This window comes from Homo sapiens, chromosome 3 (assembly GCF_000001405.40).
Source record: "Homo sapiens chromosome 3, GRCh38.p14 Primary Assembly".
NCBI classification, from domain to species: Eukaryota; Metazoa; Chordata; class Mammalia; order Primates; family Hominidae; genus Homo; species Homo sapiens.
The window spans coordinates 126,003,635-126,023,749 of record NC_000003.12 but is presented as its reverse complement, the minus strand read 5'-3'; the positions used below and the strand labels follow the sequence as shown (position 1 = coordinate 126,023,749).

The window sequence follows — 20,115 nt, the reverse complement described above, 5'->3', positions numbered from 1 at the left end:
AGAGCACAGTCTGAACAGTCTGAACAGGAAGGAGGACTTCGGAGGCATGGTAGCCACGGAAACGTGAGCCTCACCTCTTCAGTGCTGCCCCCAGAAATCCGCCACCACTGCACGTGCTTCCCAGTGCACCATGGACAGCACCGCTAAGCTCCCAGTGCAGGACTGTTCCTGGGAGACACGGGGCCCTCCGAGTATGCATCTGACAGCCTGGCTGAGCGCACCTAGAAATGCAGTGCAGTCTTAGATGTACCCCACCTTCGCTGCCCCCCTCCCCTGTGCCCTAACTGTGTTGATGTCCTCCAGTGCTCCCAGCTCCCTCCTGCCCTCCCTGTCTTCCCTCACAGGCTTAGTCCCTAATCAATCTCTTACCTAGCTGTTTCCATCTGGATGTCTGCTTCTCAGAGGATGCCAGTAAACACAGGAGGCCATGAGCTCACCCCGAGGGGTTCCATTGCTCCGAGCATCTTTGGAGCAGCCCTCATGCAGCATGGGGCTGTGGGCTGCCTGTCTCTGTGGTTCCTGGTGATTTGGGAGCTCGGGAGCCACGGGTCACTCCTTAGCATCATGTGCACAGGTCACAAAGTGGAGTCCAACTCTCCCAGCCTTCTCAGGCCTCCAGTGTAGTGGGAAGCTCTGAAAGTCAGGGCAGCCTGGCTTCACGTCAAGGACTTTGTGGAGGGAGGCAAGTTAATGAGCAGCCTCCCTGCCACCTGCCAGTCCCTACTCAGTGCCGCCCATCCCTGTGCTGCTGTGCCTGCTCAGAGCCATCTGGCTCCCTGGGATTTGAGTCTGCTGTTTCTCCTCTCTCTCTCTGCAGGGGTGCTGATGGTCTGTATAGTGATTGGTGCTCGAAAGCTCGGGGTCAACCCAGACAACATTGCCACGCCCATTGCAGCCAGCCTGGGAGACCTCATCACACTGTCCATTCTGGCTTTGGTTAGCAGCTTCTTCTACAGACACAAAGGTAAAGAGTGTCTTCTTCTATAGACACAAAGGCTCCGTGGAGGGGGGGCCCTGGAGCAGGTCACCACTGAGGCTGAGTGGGTACTTTTGCACCCAGCCCATGTGCTGTTGTTTGAATGTGTCCCCCACATTTCATGTGTTGGAAACTTAACCCCTAACTTGGCAGTAATGAAAGGTGGGGCCTTTAAAAGGTGATTGAATTAATGGATTGATGGATTAATGAGTTATCATGGGAGTGGGACTGGTGGCTTTATAAGAAGAGGAGGTGAGACCTGAGCTGCACGCTGGGTTCTGTCACCATGTGGTGCCCTGCACCACCTCCAGACCACAGAGTCCCCGCCAGCAAGAAGGCCCTCACCAAATGCTGCCCCTCGACCTTGGGTTCTTCAGCCTCCACAACCATAAGAAATTTCCTTATGAATTATCCAATTTCTGGTATTCCATTATAAGCAAATACACTAAAGCAAAAAATTGATACTGAGAAGTAGGGTGTTACTGATGTCAACCTTAAATAACAATATCCAGATAATATTGTTACCAGCGGTGAGTCCAGCTATCTGGAGAAACTCCAGAATGGCAACTTTGTGGCAATTTCAGTTCTTTGTCTTCTGGAAGGAAAGATTTCAAATGAGAGACACAGGCAAGGTTTAAAGCAGGAGGGAGAATTTATTTTAAGCAAAGCGAGAATTTATTAGAGAGTACACTTGAAGGAGAGCCATGTGGGTGACTTGAAAAATCAAGTGTGTTGTTTGCTTCAGTCACGCCCCCCACATCCATGCCTGGGCAGTTGTTTAAAGGTATTTTGTTCCTAACTGCCTCCCCCATTATCTTCATGTACCTGGAATTTGTGATACAATGAACAATAATATAGCCAATCCATAGCTTATGTTATTTTAATGTAAATTCTTTGTAAACAACTTAGGAACAGCCTCTTCCTTTATCTTTAAAATCCCACTTGTAACTGCTACTAATTGAAGTGTATATTCAGGGCACTTGAATCTATGCTCCCACTGAGCTGTTCTTAAGTTTTGGGCTCAGGTGAACTCTAAACTTAGTCATAGAATAGGGTGTTAGACATGAGCAGGGCAGGAGAGAGGGCCCCCAAGAATGTTGGGCAGTTGTCAAGCCATGGTCAGGCAATTATAAATCTGTCCCCCTGAAATAATGAGCAGGAGAAGGGAGGAACCCCAGAGCTGTCTGGTTCTCATTAAGTAACGGACAGGCAGGCATAAAACCGTCCCTCTAAGATAATAAGTGGCCATGACTGGTGCCTGGAATGACAGGAGTCTTAGAACAGACAGAAGACACCTGGAATTAGCAAGCCATAATCCCCGATAGGGTTTTAAGCATGTGCAGTGAAAGGGCAAGATGGTGAAATTTAACTGGTATATGACCTTCCTCTGGAGCGCTGGACCAGTGAGAACTGCCCCTACTGAGCATGTGCACCACTTCAATAAACACACTGCACATGCAGCTCTCCCAAGTGCTGGCAGGGCCACTGCACATGTGATAGATAAAGGCCCGCCCAGGGGAAGAACAAAAGGAGGACACAGAAAGCCCAGGAAAAGATAGGGGGTATAAAAACTCTAAACAGGCCAGGCGCGGTGGCTCACGCCTGTAATCCCAGCACTTTGGGAGGCCAAGGCGGGCGGATCACGAGGTCAGGAGATCAAGACCATCCTGGCTAACACGGTGAAATCCTGTCTCTACTAAAAATACAAAAAATTAGCAAGGCATGGTGGCGGGCGCCTGTAGTCCCAGCTACTCGGCAGGCTGAGGCAGGAGAATGGCGTGAACCTGGGAGGCGAAGCTTGCAGTGAGCCGGGATAGCGCCACTGTACTCCAGCCTGGGCAACAGAGAGAGACTGTCTCAAAAAAAAAGAAAAAAAAAAACTCTAAACAAAGAAGCAAACAACACACCTGATTTTGACAATCGGTTGAGTTTATCTAAAGACCTGGGATCAATAGAAAGGAATGTCTGTGTTAAGAAAAAGGATTGTGGAGACAGTTGTTATTTGCAGAGAGGAAGCCTTCAGGTAGCAGGCTTCAGAGAGAAGAGATTATAAAATGCTTCTTACCGGACTTAAAGTCTGCATTGATATTAATGCTGGAGAGGGATAATGAGGCATGTCTGACCCCCACTACCCGTCATGGCCTGAACCAGTCTTTCAGGTTACATTTTAAGAGTGCCCTGGCTGAGGAGGAAGTCCATTCAGGTGGTTGGGATGGAGCTTCGAATTTTGTTTTTGGTTTACCTGGTGAACTCTTAGAGAAAATGGAAACGGCGGGAAAATTGGGAAAATTTTTAGCCTGGCCATATGGTAGAGAATGAAAGAGTTTCCAGGAGAGGAATCCAAGGGTGTGACTGAGCCACCAGTTTCTAAGGAGATTAGCATGGCTGAAAGGGAGCTGGGAGCTAATAGTCAAGACAAGGGGGAAAAGGCCCAAAAGCATTTCAGAGATTTTTTGAGGCCCCCCCTCCCATCACAGGCCCAGAAGCCTAGAAAGACGGAATCGTTTCAGGGGACAGGCCCAGGGCATGAGCTTGCTGCCCAGGGCCACCTAGGGACTCTGTTCCCTGTATCCCAGTGCAGCGCTCCTTGGCCATCCCAGTCATGGCTCACACGGCTCGGGTGCAGCTCATGCTGCCGCTCCAGAAGGTACAAGTCATAAACCTAGGTCCATGTGGTGCTAATTGTCCAGACTTGCAGAGAGCAAGGGCCTTGGAAGCTTAGTAGCCACTACCAAGTTTTGGAAGTATTTTGTCCAAAGCCTGGGGGCCCAGACGAAGACTTGTTTCAGGGCTGAAGCCACTGCAGAGTTCCCCTACTAGAGCAGTGCCAAGCAGAAATGTGGGATTCGAGCTGCTCCAGAGTTCCACCAGGACAATGCCTAGTGGAGCCATGGAAGCAGGACTCCCGCCAAGACCCCAGGACTGCAGAGCTGTTAGTGTGCGATTTCAGCCTGGGAGAGCTGGGTGGACTGAGCACTGCACAGCCATGGTTGGAGGTAGGGGGATCTCAGAGGCCTGGGAACCTCAACCCCCACACCAGCGTGTAGAGGATGCCTGGCATGGAGTCAGAGGAGAAAGCTCTGGAGTCATAAGCCCCAGTGTCTGCTCTCTCAGGTTTTGGCCTATTGGTCTTTTCTTTTTGTCCATTTCTTCTTTTTGGATGGGAATGTCTGCCTTATGCCTGTACCACCATTGTATCTTAGAAGCAGGTAGCTTGTTTTGATTTCATAGGCTCACATGTGAGACTCTGGACTTCGGGCTTTTGAGTTGATGCTGGCATAAGTTAAGACTCTGGGCTATGGGGATGGAATGAATGTATTTTGCATGTGAGAAAGACATGAATTTGGGGTACCATGGGTGGAATGCTGTGGTTCGAATGAGTTCCCTAAATTTCATGTGTTGATCCCCAATGTGGCAGTATTGAAAAGTGGGGCCTTTAAGAGGTGATTGGGTCATAAGGGCTCTGCCCTCATGAACAGATTAATCCATTCATGGATTAATAGATTAATGGCTTAATTGGATTAATGAGTTACCATGGGAGTGGGACTGGTGGCTTTAAAAAAGAGGAAGAGAGACCTGAGCTACATGCTCGGTTCCCTCGCCATGTGGTGCCTTGCGCCACCTCCGGACTCTGCAGAGTCCCCACCAGCAAAGAAGGCCCTCACCAGAGGCAGCCTCTCAACCTTGGACTTCTCAGCCATTATAACCGTAAGAACAAATTCGTTTTCTTTAGGAATTACCCAGTTTCGAGTGTTCTGTTATAAGCAACAAAACTGACTAAGACACTGTGACCTTCAAATCAGCCATTATTCCCACAGGAAGGACCCTGCTGTATTACAGTCAAAAATCCTTTTACAGAGGGAAAGCCTGAGGTTATTCCACAAGTTCAAGGAGTGCTCAGGAAAGTGCCTCAAGCTCTCCAAACCATGTTAGGAAGAATAAGCAACTGAAGCCTGCATTTATATGGGTTGTTAACTTCTACCTTTAGGGCAGAGGTGTACTAGGAGGTTGAGTGGGGCCTGAGGCTGGTCGGCCACACTGATGTGTCCTCACAGGATTGGAGGGCAGTGGGCATGCAGTGACAGTTGTTGAAGAAGTGCCCAGACAAAGGGAAGAGCCTCAGCAAAGCTGCAGTTTATCACTCCCCATGGGAATGTAGGCCTAGGGATTTGAGAAAGCATCCCATCTTTACCTGTTGGCAACTGAAGCAGACAAATAAACAGCTGTGATTTAGAGGGTATGGGCACTGGGACCCTTTCTGTCCCAGCTTTGGGACTGTCTTCTTGCCATCCTGGTGTTGCCTGCCAGCAGTGATGTTTAATCACCAGGGAGATTCGCCAAGTTTACTTAAGTGGCAAGGGAGATCTGTAAGAAAGAATAAGATGACCTAACTTTACTTTTAAGCTAAACTAAACTTAAAACAAGAAGATTTGTATATGGGTTATTTGAGTTGGATTTGCAAAATAAGTGAGAGTTCAGGCATCACATGAACCTTTGCCTCTGCCCCAGGCTGTACCGTGTGCTCATTTCCACATGACTTATGATTTAGACACAAAATCACTGTTGGGGCATCTGTCTCTCCAGTGAGACTGTGACCTTCTCTCTGTTGCACTCAGGAGTCACTGGGACTGGCCTGTATTAGATAAATCTTGACCCGCTGAGGTGTGAGCAGCTGACTGTAATACCTGCTGGGTGTAGTTGGGAATTGGCATTGCATATTGGGGAGGTGTGCTGGGGAAAGCATGAGGCAGGCCCTGGGGGTGCTTGTGAGTAGCTAACTGAAAACTCAGACTGGATTCAAAAGCATCGTATAAGGTGATGCTTCTGCAGGCCGCTGTTTCCCAGAGGGTGGGAGACCTGGTTAGAGGTGGCTGGGCCTGGCTTATATCTCCTGCAGAGGCCACGCCCTCCTACCATAAAGTACCTTGTCTGTAGCCAGTCTGGGGCACCTGAGGCAGAGGAATGGGCCATAACCCTTTAGTGCAGAGAAGGAAGGAGCGGATGTTCCTGATAACACCCCCAGAGAGGGAGTACATGGGACACAGACCCATGCCTGGGTACCCCTGAGTGTTGGGCCCCCTTGGCAGGTGAGCCTGCCCTCCAGAGGGTGGGGCTGAGGGTGAGACGACCACTCTAGAGAAAGCCAGTGTCTTGTTCTGTCACTTGTGGGGGACCCTCACACGGAGCACAACACAGAAAGGGAGGAATGAATGCACGAGATGCCCGAGTGTGTCAGGCTTGTCCTGGGCCCCCGCAGCAGTGACTGATCCAGCACCTGCCCAGTCTTCACTGGCCTCTCGCCAGTGGAGAAGATGAGATGGGGACACGAGTAGCTACCCGGCTGGTGACCCTTGGTTGCCTGGGACTGGCCTCAGCCAGGACCATGGGTGGCATCCCATAGCCGGCCCTGGCGTTCCATGGACCCAGGCCATAGCCCTGACGGGGCTGCTTGCTGTCTAGGCAGCCACCCTTTTTTGCACGTCTGCTTCCTCCTGCTGCCTGTCTAAGCAGGGGCTGTCGAGAAGGTGAGATGAGATTGTGCACCCGAAGTACTGAGCATAGTGCTGGCTCATGGTGCATTCCATACATTGTACTTCTATTTATTTATGACAGTAGCATCAGGGTGGGAGGAGGCAGAACAGGGTACTTTATATGGGGAAAATAGCAAGTTTGCCAGAGAAGTGGAGTTGAATGTGGCAGGAATGGAGGACAGAGAGGAGCTTTTCCAGTTACTTCTTGGGATGGTGAAAGTTCTGTGAAAAGTATGGCAAGGCAGTTCCCCCTCAACTGATGAGGACAGGAGCGTCCTCACCCACCTCTCATTTGTGAAACCCAGGCCCAGCCTGTGTGTGCTGGCCTTGGCCACATGAGCTGCGTGTGTCCCTGTTCTCCTTTCAGATAGTCGGTATCTGACGCCGCTGGTCTGCCTCAGCTTTGCGGCTCTGACCCCAGTGTGGGTCCTCATTGCCAAGCAGAGCCCACCCATCGTGAAGATCCTGAAGTTTGGCTGGTTCCCAATCATCCTGGCCATGGTCATCAGCAGGTGAGCAGGAGCCAGGGCCACGGCCCCTCTTCCTCCTCTCAGCCATGAAGGCCCCTAGAACCAGGGTGACACTCACTGCCTTGGGGGACAGGAATGGAGTGAAATGTAGCTGTGGGCTCTTTCAGTAACTCCCATTGCTGATTGAATCATACCTTTTTTCCTTTCTTCTCTCCCTTTCACTGAGAACCCTGGGCCTTGTTGGTTCTAAGAGAGGCTGCCCTGTTTACATTTGCCAGAGCACCAGGGACCCAGGAAGAGCCAAAGCTGGGGCCGGCACTGGAGTGCACTGGAGCCCCAAGGGAGACAGCGGCTTTCAGGCCATTGCCACTAGAGCTTTGCTGGCCCAGATCCCTGCTTAGGTGGCAGGTCCCCCACCTTGGCCTCAAGGCCACATCTGCTGACTCACTCGTCCTCCTGGTCACTGGCCACACATGGCTACTGGTGGGACCTAGACAGCTGTGGGGTTAGCGCCCTTCCAGAGCCTTAGAACCTTCAGCTGAGCCCAGGTCCACCACCCTCCAGCTCCCTCTCAAGGCTCATTTCCTGAGAGTTGACCTTGATGGGGGCCACCCCTGTCCATTCTGATGAGTTTTTCTAACTTTGAGTCTTGGGGAGAAGAGGCGATAGAGTAGGTATCCTTGCTTCCAGGAGGCTCCTGGGCTCCTTATACAGATTGACCTAGCTTCTCCAGGGCTCTAAGAAGTCCCAAGGGGTGGGAAAGCTTTTGCTAAACTACAGTGGCCAGTGGGAGCAAGGTCTGGCTGCAGCATTTTCTGAGAACATGGGGTGGGCATGAGGTGATCCTCCTGCAGGTTCTGTTTTCTGCTAAAGAGCATCTCAGTCGTGGTGCCGGAGTCTTGGGACAGCCCAGCCAGCTGTGTGCTTTTGAAAAGGCATTTGTTAGTTTTGCAATAAGTGGGTGTTCTCGGATGGCCTTCTGCAATGGTTGAGGCTCAAAGTGGAGATGGAAAAGCATGAGCAGGGTGCAAAGGATGCTGGGGAGACCAGTTTGGCCGCAGCAGATATTTTGTGTAGGGGAGAGGAGAGTGACAGCCAAGGATGGGAAGCTGGGCTGAAAGGGTGATTTGTGTGGAGAGTTGCAGGGCCACTGTAAGTGTAAACTCTGATAACTTGACTGCTGTCTGCTATTTCCCCAGTTTCGGAGGACTCATCTTGAGCAAAACCGTTTCTAAACAGCAGTACAAAGGCATGGCGATATTTACCCCCGTCATATGTGGTACGTATTTGAAGGGTTCCCATGTGGTCCCTGGGTTGGGTAGGCCCACAGGATTGGGTTGGACCGGAACAGCAGACCTCAGAGGGGCAGCACCAGCCCCGCACAGGCAGTTGGGCAGCTGAGCCGTGGACAGACTGCTGCCTTACAGGGATGCTGGAGCAGGTCTTCTCAGATGGAAGAAGCCTGGGGAGGAAGCCCCACACACTGTTCGCAGCAGCTCAGACCCGGCTCCTCACAGGCAGCCCTGGGACATAAGCTCTCCTGACAGGACCGAATTCCAGGCTTTGCAGGCACTGAGTCAAACTCCGGCCTCGATGGCACCTGCCAATTGAGCATGGCCTTCAGAACCGGGGCGCTGGCTCTTGTGGCTTTTCTTTTTCCTTTTTTGGATTCATTGCTGACATCAGAACTCAGATATTTACACTTAAAAATCTGGATTTCTTCTTCTTAAAAATTAAGACTGTAACAAATACCGGGTCTCTACCCTGGGCACTGCAGCAGTGCCTGAGACAGATCCAGGACTGTGCTTCCCAGCTGCCTTGATCTCCCCCTTCCCTGTTGTCTGACACCTGGCTCTCTGCACATACTTACCTCCTAGGCCTACACCCTGTGGGGTTTGTGTGGATGACCCCTCTTTTAACCAAAGCTTAGCTTGGTGTCTGGTGTCTGATAAGTTTCTGTAAATGGAAGTGATCAGTTAGGAGAAGAACAAAACATGTTTTGTCCAGTTTAGCCCCCAGGCCCTGGCCTGCAGGGACTGAAGAAACAGCCTTCAGAGGCTCCTAGGCAGCCCCTGCGTGTCCACAGTGTCCCTCCTCCCTTGCTCCCTTAGGGGACCATGTCTTTATTCCTTGCATGTCAGTGGGCCACCCAGCGTGTCCTCACCCCAACAGTGCCAAAGTGCCTTCACATTGTGCATGAGAACAGCAACAGAGGGCTTATTACGTTGGAGTGATTTTTTGGGATGAGTCACCAACTCGGATGCCTTCAGTGGCCAAACAATCTGCATGAATTATGCAGCTAGACAGTGAGAAATGGCAGGGGTAAGCTGCAGAATGCATTTCTCATATGAACAGTGTGGTGCCTGTCCAGCTCCAGCCAGTAGTTGCCTCGGGAGAGTGTAGGTCCAGACTTGCCAGTGCTGACTTGGGAAGAGAAGCTGGGAATCTGTATTAAGGGCCTAATTTGTAAACAGTACCAATTAATTTGAGGTTTTTTTTTCCTTTTTCTTTTTAAAATTATGTATGGGCCAAGCCGAATAGATCGCAGCAGTCCTCTGCCTGAAGACAATTGTTTGCATCCTCTAGAACAGCCTGTGTGGTTGGCCTCTGCCTGAGAGGTCACTGGTGCACACCTGGCCCAGCTAGGGAGAGTTCTCCATGGCACTGAGCAAGTAGGATAGGGGAATCCCCACCTTCCATCAGCCCGCCCCCGCATCTGCCCCCACAGAAGGAATGCTCAGCATGGCCTTTGTCAGCTGGACCATCTGGCCCGGGCAGAGCTTGAAACCTTTTTCATACCCTGTGGGATCCCGGAGTCTCAGCAGGAAGCCCTGGTGTTCCCAGAGACCGCATGTGCTCATGGTTTTCTGGGCCTCATGACTCTGCCTCTAGGGTTCTGTGTTCTATGCCCTGTCAGTCTACACATGACCCCGCTCGTCCTGTTTCCCCTAAAGCCACTTGCTCTGGGCACACACCCAAAGCATCTATGAATGTGGGAGTTTGCACTGACAACTGAGCTCCGAGAGAGGGGCTCACCTAGCACCACAAATTGAAATCATGCAGCAGACAACGTCTTTTCTTCAACGCTCTCAGACCACACAGCCATGAGAGGTGTCCCAGGCATGTCTCCTGCCGCATGCTTGCTTTGCCACCTGCCTGTGATCATCTCTGTCCTCCCCTCACCTTCCCTCTCATTCTTTTTTTTTTTTTGAGACAGAGTCTTACTCTGTCACCCAGGCTGGAGTGCAGTGGCGTGATCTTGGTTCAGTGCAATCTCTGACTCCTGGGTTCAAGTGATTCTCCTGCCTCAGCCTCCTGAGTAGCTGGGATTACAGGTGTGCACCACCATGCCCAGCTAATTTTTTTTGTATTTTTAGTAGAGACAGAGTTTCACCATGTTGGTCAGGCTGGTCTCGAACTCCAGACCTCAAATGATCCACCCACCTCAGCCTCCAAAAGTGCTAGGATTACAGGCATGAGCCACCATGCCTGGCCCCCTCTCATTCTTATCCACTGTCTTCATTCCTCCTCTCTCCTTCCCACCTTGAGTGAAAAAAAAAAAATCACTTTCATTTTCTCAGATATTCCAGGCTGTAGTCTGTTTCCTGTCAATGCCTGTGGCCTTGAGGTCTGACTTATCCAGACTGCCTTATCACACTATTCTCAGACCTTTCTATCCACTCTCCCCTCATCCTTACTTTGTCCCTGGATCCCCTCCCTCCCATCCTCGCTCCAGCCAACAAATACTTATTGAGAACCTACTTTACAGCCGCACTCCCCTCACCTTAAGAGATGCCAGCAGTCAAGGTGATGCAGTTACTCCCTGGATACCTCACTCACAAGCTCTGGGCCACCCTGACTTGCTGCCAAACAAGATCTGTGGTCAAGTGGGAGGAAAGGAAAAGATAATGAAATACTGAATTAACCAAAGAAGACTTCCTGGAGGAAGGGAACTTAAAATAAGGGATACAACTTAGAGACTGGCGTAAAGAAAGGGAAAACAGATTCCTTTTCTCCTCGTAGGTGTTGGTGGCAATCTGGTGGCCATTCAGACCAGCCGAATCTCAACCTACCTGCACATGTGGAGTGCACCTGGCGTCCTGCCCCTCCAGATGAAGAAATTCTGGCCCAACCCGTGTTCTACTTTCTGCACGTCAGGTGGGTGTCATGTCTTTCAGAGGCCATGATAGCCATTTCTTTAAACAAGAAAACATCGGTGTCATTGGAATCTGGTGTTTGTAGCAATGGATGCCTGAAGCCAGGGCTGATCTCGGCACACATCACCTTCAGGGCCCCAGAAATGAGACTCCCCGGCCCTGCCTTTCCTTCATTCCTTCATTCAATTATTTATTGAATGTCCACTGGGCACTAGGTGTTAGGTTAGTGGTGAAACAGGGAGAGCTGATTTCTTGCCCTTGAAGTACACAGTATAGAAGGGCAGATAAACACAAGTGGGCTCGTAATTAAAAATTATGTTGGGTACCGAGCAGCAAAAGTGCAGAGTGCAGTGAAAAAGAATTAGAGGAAATACACTTGGGATAAGGAAGCTCCTCCCTGAGGACAAGTGGGTGTTGTTGGGAGGAGGAGGGCAAGAGAAGAAGGGGCTTTCAGGGCAGTGGGTGCAGTCTAGCAAAGGCCCAGAGGCAGGAAGGAGTGTGGCAAGTCTGAAGAACTGAAAGGCCAATGTGGCCTGAGCTGAATGGACAGGAGGGGATGAAGGAGGCTGAGGCCAGAGAGGCCGGAAGGAGGTGATCCGACAGAGCCTTGGAGTTGAGGAAGGAACCTGGATTCTACTCAGAACCACTGGAAGCTTTTGGAGATGTTGTGTCTTTTTGTTGGCTTTGAAAAATCAGATCTTCTTTCCTGTTACATTGTTTTGGATTTCCTTTCTAAGAACTACCTTTAGCCTTCTTTTGGGTTGGCTGTTGGCACATTTCTGAAGGATATTTTCACTGGTTGTAAAATTCGGTGTCAATAGTTGTTTTCAAACACTTGAAAAATGTGCCACTTCCTTCTGATTCCATGACTTATGATGAGAAATCTGCCATTTCAATTTATTTTGCTGTATAGGTATGGTGCCATTTCTCTCTTGCATATTTCAAGACCTTGTCTTTAGTTTCTAGGAGTTGGATTATGATATGTATTGGTATGGACTTTTTGGGGTTTATCCTATTTGGGGTTTGTTAGGCTCCTTGAACACATGGATTTATATCTTTTGTCAAATCGGAAAATTTAAGCCATCACTTTTTCAGCTGCACTCTCCTTCTTTTTGATATTCTAATGACATGAATGTTAGATCCTCTGTTACAGCCCCACAAGTCCCTGAGACTCTGTTTGGTTTTTGCAAAGTCTATTACTCTCCTTGTTTAGATTGGCTCATTTCTATCACTTTTTTCTCCAAGTTGACTGATCTTTTTTCCCCTGCCCTCTCCATTCTGCTATTGAGCCTATTCACTGAGTTGTCTGGGACTTTTGGGGGTATTGTATGTGTTTAGTTTTAACATTTCCATTTGGTTCTTCTTTCTTTCTATCTTCTTTTTCTTTTCTGAGACTTTCTATTTCTTTGCTTATACTTTCTATTTTTTTGTTTGTTTCAGGTGGGTTTGTGATTGCATGATGAAGGATTGTTGTAGTGGCTTCATTAGAACGGCTTTCAGGTGATGCTGACGTCTGTGTCGTCTCACTCTGCTGTCTGTTGGTTGTCTTTTCTCATCCAGGTTGAGATTTTTCTTGCTCTTGGTAAGATGAGTGATTTTCATTTGAATCCAGACATTTTGGGTATTATGGACAAGACTTTGGATCATGTTTGAATCTCTACTTAGCTGGCTTCCTTTGACACTGCACCACTGGGGAGAAGGGATGGACTGCTGCCCAGGTGGGGATGGAAGACTGGGTTCACCATTCAGCCTCTATTGCTATCCTGGGAGAAGAGGAGCACCTTGTTATTGCTGGGCACAGTGCAATCTAGGTTCCTCACTAGGCCTCCTCTGAGACCACCTTGGCTGGGACAGGGAAAGATGCCTTGTTGTTGCTCCCCACATGGCTTCACTGACAAGGTGGGGGCCCCATTAGCACTGGGTAGAGATGAAAGTTCTGAATCTCACCCTGCCAGCCACAGGAGATGATGGTGGTCCCACCAGGCCTTTCCTGATGAGGTCGGGGCTGCAGTTTTTCCTGTGGTGTTTGTTGGAATAGAGTTTGTTGGAATAGAGTTATTGTCTGAAAGTTGTCTGTTTTGCCGGGCTTCCCCTTTCCTGGCCTTTGGTGAAAAAGATCAGACTTCTATGGAGTCTCTTTTTTTGAGACAGGGTCTCACTCTGTTGCCCAGGCTGGAGTGCAGTGGCGCAATCTTGGCTCACTGCAACCTCCACCTCCCTGGTTCAAGCGATTCTCCTGCCTCAGCCTCCCAAGTAGCTGAGATTACAGGTGTGCGCCACCATACCCAACTAATTTTGTATTTTTAGTAGAGACAGGGTTTCACCATGTTGGCCAGGCTGGTCTCGAACTCCCGACCTCAACTGATTGCCTGCCTTGGCCTCCCAAAGTGTTGGGTTTACAGGCGTGAGCCACAGCGCCTAGCCTATGGAGTGTTTTTTGTCTATTTGTATCTGCATTTCTTGATGGCTGAGGCCAGGACTCAGTCTTGGTTATGTGAGGCAAAGAAAGAAAGAGAAAAAGGACAATTCAGGGGACTCACGACCATGTTGTTCATTGCAGCCCAAGGTCCCCAGCCAGCCTTTCAGAATCTGCTTACGTTTGTTTTATATACAATGTTTAGGGCTTTCAGTTGTACTTAATGGGAGAAATAGGACGAAGTGTGTCTTCCCCATTTGTTCAGAAGTCAGACTCCGTGTTATATTTTCTAACTTGTTATTTGTATATAGAAAAGCTGTTATTTTCTGTGTTGTGCACCTAAACATTTTATTGAATTCTTATTGTTTACATGGTTTTCCTATAGATTTTCTTGAGTTCTCACACCAACTTCCAATAGTAGCTTCTTCCAATCATTTTGCTGCTTCTTTTTGACATTTTTTAAAATAATACTTTTATTCCATGTCTGATTTCTCATCATGAATAGATGTCGTTGCTCTTCTGCACTAGCTTTGAGCTACATGTGACCTTTTTTCTCCTTTTATTATTTTGGTGAAATACATATATTAACTCAGAGGCAAATGGAGACCTACTTTTCATTAGAAGTCTATTTCCATTTTGAGAAATCAATCATATTCATGTTAGAATTTTAAAAAGTATTTGTGGTAGGGCCAGGGTCAATCACACTTATTGTAAAGTCTCAAACTCAGAGCATGGGAATCTAAAGGAAACCCAGGGCTCACTGGCACATTGCAGGTATGCTGACAGGGCCACAGAGGCTGCTATGAAGAAGGGGCTGCCCGAGGTCCCCTTTTGAGCCGACTGCCCTCCCCAGATCACCAGCGCTGCACTGAGTGAAGCACCATACCCAAAGCTCTTTTCCTCCTTAAGCCCCTTGTATGTTCTCTTTTCTCTGCTCAAACTCCTCTCCCCCAAATTCAAATCCCAGCTGAAATGTCATCTGCAGGAGCTCATCCCCACTGATAAACACTTCCTGCTTTTTGCCCTTCTTTTTACCTTTATTTTCTTTAAAGTACTTGTCACAGTTTGAAATAGCCTTTCTTGCTTCTTTTTATTTCTGCTTACTTGATTCTTGTTTCTCTTCTCTAAAATATCAGCTCCACGAGGGAAGGGGAAAGACTGTATCCCCATCTGCCAGAATATGCTTGCCACAGAGTAGGTGTCCAGTGAACACTTGGGAATAAATGGATGAGTGAGTGTGGATGCCTCACTGAGGACTGTCACATGCCAAAGTGGCCTCGCTTCAGGTCACATGACCTTCTTGGTTCTGTTTCTTTCAGAAATCAATTCCATGTCAGCTCGAGTCCTGCTCTTGCTGGTGGTCCCAGGCCATCTGATTTTCTTCTACATCATCTACCTGGTGGAGGGTCAGTCAGTCATAAACAGCCAGACCTTTGTGGTGCTCTACCTGCTGGCAGGCCTGATCCAGGTAAGCCTGGCTGCAGCAATTAGAGGTGCGCAGCTGTGTAGTCAGCCAGCAGGCTTGATCTCTTGTCTGAGTGAGAGGCTGAGGGAGGCGGGTGGGGGTGGCTGGACGTGTGGGGCACAGTCCTTATCTTCCAGGAGTTGAGTCAACTTGTCAAATACAGAGGCCATTCCACACTGCACACCACATGCTACATGCCACACACTCCACACCACACAGCGCATCCCACACACTCCACACCACACCACAAACTCCACACCACACACTGTACCCCACACACTCCACACCACACACTTCACACCACACACTCCACAACACAGTGCAACCCACACACTCCACACCACACACTTCACACCACACACTCCACACCACACAGTGCACACCACACACACTACACACTGCATGTCACAGTGCATGCCACATGCATGCTACAGAGTGTGTGCTGCATGCTACATGCTATACAGCTTACGCTACGTACTGCACTGCATACTACACATGTCATCTTGCACATCACTCGTCACATTATGTACTGCATGCTAGACACGGCACACAACATGCCACACACTGCGCGCAGCACATTCATCATCACAGGATAAGAGGAGCAGCCCTGAGGATGAAGCATGTTCCCACGGAACAGGCTGAGGAGTGGTCCAGCTATCCACTGCCTCCCCAACGGTGGGTGGGCAGGGCCAGACCCCTGCAGGGTCTGCTGCTGCAAGGCATGCGTAGACATTGATCAGGGCTGGACAGCAGTAAGCATGGTGAAGGAGATTAAGCTGGTGCCTGTGTTGGGCAGGTATTCAGCACACTGCCTAGACTGCAGCGGGCTGATGGTCCCCAGTGGGTCTGGGGCCTTTGCAGGGAGCACCGTGGGCGCTGGAGGGCAATTCTATGGGTGTGGTGCTGGTACTGGCACTTTCTCATCTCCCAGAGTTTATGGCATTTGTAATTGTGGTATGTTCCTGACCCTAAAGGGTAGGATTAGGGAAATCCCAGAAGTTGTCCTGAGCAGCAGCAGCTTATGACTCCAGTTGGGGAGAAGGAAGGAGCTGGGGTTAGCCTGGACAAGGGATTGAGGAGCCATGAGACCTGAGCAGGCTTGTGTGGACTACCCCATGGCACCTTCAGGAAGGGCTGACTGTCCTAACCTCCAGGGGAGAAGGGCTCAGGCAAACCCAAATGGACATCTCGGCAAAGTCCCATGAGTAGAGCCTATCGCAGCAGAGAGAGCCCCAGCTGGTGAGTGGCAGTGGGTCTGATTGGCCCTTCAGGGTGCCAGAAGCTGGGCCCACTAGAGGGAGGCTAGGTAAGTACAGATGAGGGTCACCTCTCTAGCCACTGCTTGAGCTCGGAGCTGGGCTTCAGACCCCAAGAGAAGCTGGATGAAGGAGGCTGGCTGGGGTTGACCTGTCCACCTTGGTATCTCTCCTTGAGCCTCAGCTAGTGCTTCCTGCCTGTACTTGACTTTCTGACTTGGTCTTCTTTTGTGTCTCTTTGCCCTTCTGACAGGTGACAATCCTGCTGTACCTCGCAGAAGTGATGGTTCGGCTGACTTGGCACCAGGCCCTGGATCCTGACAACCACTGCATCCCCTACCTTACAGGGCTGGGGGACCTGCTCGGTACTGGCCTCCTGGCACTCTGCTTTTTCACTGACTGGCTACTGAAGAGCAAGGCAGAGCTGGGTGGCATCTCAGAACTGGCATCTGGACCTCCCTAACTGGGCCCCGCTGGTCCCATTTGCTCATTAGAATTTCCTCTCACATCAGTGGGATACAGAATTCAGTTTCTCCCTTGCCAGGTCCTTGGGATGGTTGACCCCTGCCTCTGCAGTAGCCTTTTGTGAGTCTGCTAAGGTAGCTCTCACACACCTCGGCTCTGGGGTTGATACCTGAGCCTGCAATAGAGCCCTGAAATCAAGAGCATGGCTTGAGTGTGTGAATATGATGTGTGCACATGCTTAATGAGCGTGCAAGTGTGCACACGTTTGTGGAGAGGAGGGTGTTCTGGCCTGAGAAGGTAAAGAAGAGGCATGTCCAGTATGCTTTGCAGGGTGTGTTTGCTCTTTTCCATGCCCATGCAACCCAGATTGGGGTGGAGCAGGAAGGAGCTCTTTTCTGTTCCCAAGCCTCAGAACTCTTGAGCTGTGGCTTACTTGCTGTCTTCACCAGGTTCAAGCTCCGTGGGCCACACTGCTGCTGTGCCAAGAAGGTGTACAGCCTCCCCAGGATGGGGCCTCATACAACCCTTCATCTGCACTCAACATTTAATCGTGTCCTTGCTGTCTTTTTATTTTCCTTTTTGTTTGTTAGCAAAAACCTCTATTTAGATTTCAATAATCAGAGAAGTGTAAAATAAAACAGATTATATTGTACTTGACCCTTTATGTCTTTAAAGATAGTTAATGCAACCCTGAGGCTTGGGGTCTATAAATAACAAAAGCATCTGGCATTTCTCTAGTGCAGTGTTTCTCAAAGTGGCCTTCAGCCTAGAAACGTCAGTGTCACCAGGAAACTTGTTAGAAGTGCAAATTATTATCCCTCACCCCCTGGCCTGACTAGCCAAATCAGCATTTCTTGGGAGTAGAGCCAGCTATATGGGTTCCACAAGCCCTCCAGGTTTCTCATACACACCCACGTTTGAGAACTACTACTCGAGAACATCATCTTTAAAAAATGTATGATCATTTCCTGTCTCTTATTAACTCATCAGGACAACTGTAGCCATGCTTGGACTTGAAGATTATTATCTTCATGTGGTAAAACAGACATCTATTCATGTATTCAACAAATGTTGATATAGAACCTCTTGTTTTAATGTTCTAGAAGGAAAGACATGGTACATTAACTGGAATAATTGAGCAGACTTTAAGGAAGGCACAGTTTATAGGTGCATGGGGACCAGAAGAAGGGGTGAAGCATCCTGGGGCCAGGCACTACCAGACATTCACCTGTCCTGGAGAATAGTTGGGATTGTGGTTTCCTGAGATGCATGGGGATCTCTAAGAAAGAGACACAGCTACATCAGCTTGTGGCCTGGCAGAGAAAGCCAGGGAAATAAATATCCCAATCTCATTCTCTGTCCACCCTATTATCTCCTGCCAGTGTCTCCCATTGGCCAAACCCAACCAGAAGTTCAATGACTGGGGAGCCGCTTGACGATCCACAGAGGTTTCAGCCTCCTGGGGCACAGAGCCAGGGGAGGCTGGGGATAGATCTGGAGAGGCAACTGGAGAATATTCAGCACAACTATATGCCAAGCTCCATGCTAGATACTGGGGACACACTTGTGGGCAAATCACTCATCATCCCTGGTTCAAGTCCCTACTAGGAGAGATAGTCAACATCACACAAGTATTGAAAGTCCAGCTCTGATAAGTCTTGCAAAAGACAAGCATGTGATGCTACTGAAGCATGTAATGAGAGCTAAGATCTATCAAGCATCTTCTGTGTGTCTGGTTGTATCCTAAACATTTGACGTGTAAACTCTGATAACCTCACATTAAGTGATGCAGTACATACCACTCCCATTTGTAGATGACTGAAGCATTGTGAGGCTTCTTAACGTTACCAAAGCCCTATGGCTAGTGAGTGGTGGACTGATTTGAACAGACATTTGGGCTCAGACCCAAGCGATGTGTGTGCCAAAGAGGTTTGACCAACACCGTGTTACAAGATCCTAGAGGTGTTGCTTTTCCAGCCAGAAACCTCTGTGGCCAGTGGTGCCTTTGCCTGAGTTTTGCTCAGGCCCACTGGGCTTGTTCTGTCCACTCGGCCTGGCAGGCTGCGCTCAGCTCACGCTACCAGCCTGGGATCCCACACCTGCCAAGGGTGAGCCAGGCATGGAGTAATGAGGGGTATGTGAGCGAGTGAGCATGAGGTCCAACCACTGCACACAGCCAGGCACCCCAGCTGCTGTGGCAGGGCAGGCAGCTCCAGGCACTGGCACAGGCGCCGGCTCCATGCAAGGCTGCAACTGGATCAGATGTACCACAAGCAGCTTCCACTGCAGTTACCCACATCTGGACAAGGGGAACATGGTGGTGCCCAGAAGCTTGGAGACACCAGGTACCGCAGAGCCCCAAAGAGGGTGTCACAGCTCTGGCCTGGGGAGCTCTAAGGTCTGGGCTCCCAGAAGGGCTACAGCTCTTCTCTCCTTCTCATCGCCTGCCACATGGCAAGTGGGGGGCATGTTTCAGCCCTGTATTACAGCTGTTTGAGTCTTGCCATTCAGCGTGTCCCGAGTTTTTGTCCTGCCTCCAGGAGGAATGAGGTATGCAGACAACTGGAGGGTGAGCAAGACAGAGGGGAGCTTCACCAAGTGACAAAACAGCTCTCAGGAGACCCGGAGTGGGTAGCTGTTTTCCACAGGCAGGTCGTCCCAACAAGTGTGAGTCTGCCTGAGTCCAGGGTTTTTAATGGGCACAGAAGGGAGGAAGTGCATGCTGATTGGTCCATGAATGGCCATGGGTGGGCCTGGAAAAAGCACCATAAGTTCTCACTCCGGGCTGCCAACTCCACCCTGAACTGGCAGCCCGGTCCCCAGGCTTCAGGCCATTCCTGGATCGAAGTGGGGGTTTCAACAAGACCCCACCCCTTTCTGCCCAGGAACCTGTCTGCCTCCTGCTACCGACCTGCTGTCCATGGTATGGTGCCCAGGCTGTTTGTGTCAAAGGGCACCTGCAGGCCTGTGCCAAGCTGCCCCTAACCACCTCCCAGCCTCCCTCCCAAAGGAGGGGACCCAAAGTTGGCACCCAAAGCCCAGAGAGGGGTGAGGCAGTGGTGGGGCTGGCATGTCAATGCCACCCTGAGTGCACACAAATTCGGCTGGGTTATGACAGTATCATCTGGGCTTGGCTTCCACTTTGCTCTGAAATTATAGTGGGTGCCAGGAGTAGGGAGAGGCCAGGGAGTGGGAGCAGGCACTTCTGAGCCTGCAGGGGCAGGGGGGCTTCTGGGGCCCTGAGAGCACAGGGATGCCTGGGTCCAGAGCCACGGCTGGGTGGCTGCAGCTGTGCCCAGGAGCGCAGGGCTCTTGCCCCACCAATTAAGTAGGGCACGGGGCCCTCGCCTGTTCCTGGCTCCTGCCGGCCCCGTGGAGT

General features: G+C 50.1%; 1 protein-coding gene across 27 annotated transcripts in view, besides 2 other annotated features; it reads left to right on the top strand.

Annotated features, from left to right (window-relative positions):
• The window catches only part of SLC41A3 (solute carrier family 41 member 3), a 95,164-nt gene extending 77,771 nt beyond the window's left edge, over positions 1-17,393 (top strand). For 14 of the 27 annotated variants that reach the window (NM_001164475.2, XM_017006707.2, XM_017006708.1 and 11 more), the window contains 6 exons: positions 818-964; positions 6,875-7,019; positions 8,177-8,256; positions 11,001-11,135; positions 14,870-15,018; positions 16,525-17,393. In NM_001164475.2, coding sequence (NP_001157947.1) covers positions 818-964; positions 6,875-7,019; positions 8,177-8,256; positions 11,001-11,135; positions 14,870-15,018; positions 16,525-16,734 — 866 coding nt within the window. In that variant the 3' untranslated portion in view covers positions 16,735-17,393. The remainder of the gene's footprint in view (positions 1-817; positions 965-6,874; positions 7,020-8,176; positions 8,257-11,000; positions 11,136-14,869; positions 15,019-16,524) is intronic. The other 13 variants (XM_005247563.3, XM_047448404.1, NM_001008486.2 and 10 more) reach the window with 1 other exon arrangement.
• Positions 1,553-2,335: an enhancer, noted in NCBI's record as "OCT4-NANOG-H3K4me1 hESC enhancer chr3:125740258-125741040 (GRCh37/hg19 assembly coordinates)". NCBI's record gives its function as "activates a minimal SCP1, AML or CMV promoter by ChIP-STARR-seq in primed H9 embryonic stem cells {active_cell/tissue: H9 hESC(primed)}" and the evidence as "EXISTENCE:reporter gene assay evidence [ECO:0000049][PMID:30033119]".
• Positions 6,115-6,297: a silencer, noted in NCBI's record as "fragment chr3:125736296-125736478 (GRCh37/hg19 assembly coordinates)". NCBI's record gives its function as "represses an EF-1alpha promoter that drives an FKBP-Casp9 reporter gene in an ReSE screen in phorbol 12-myristate 13-acetate-treated (for megakaryocytic differentiation) K562 erythroleukemia cells {active_cell/tissue: K562(+PMA)}" and the evidence as "EXISTENCE:reporter gene assay evidence [ECO:0000049][PMID:32094911]".
• Positions 17,394-20,115: the final 2,722 nt, after the last annotated feature.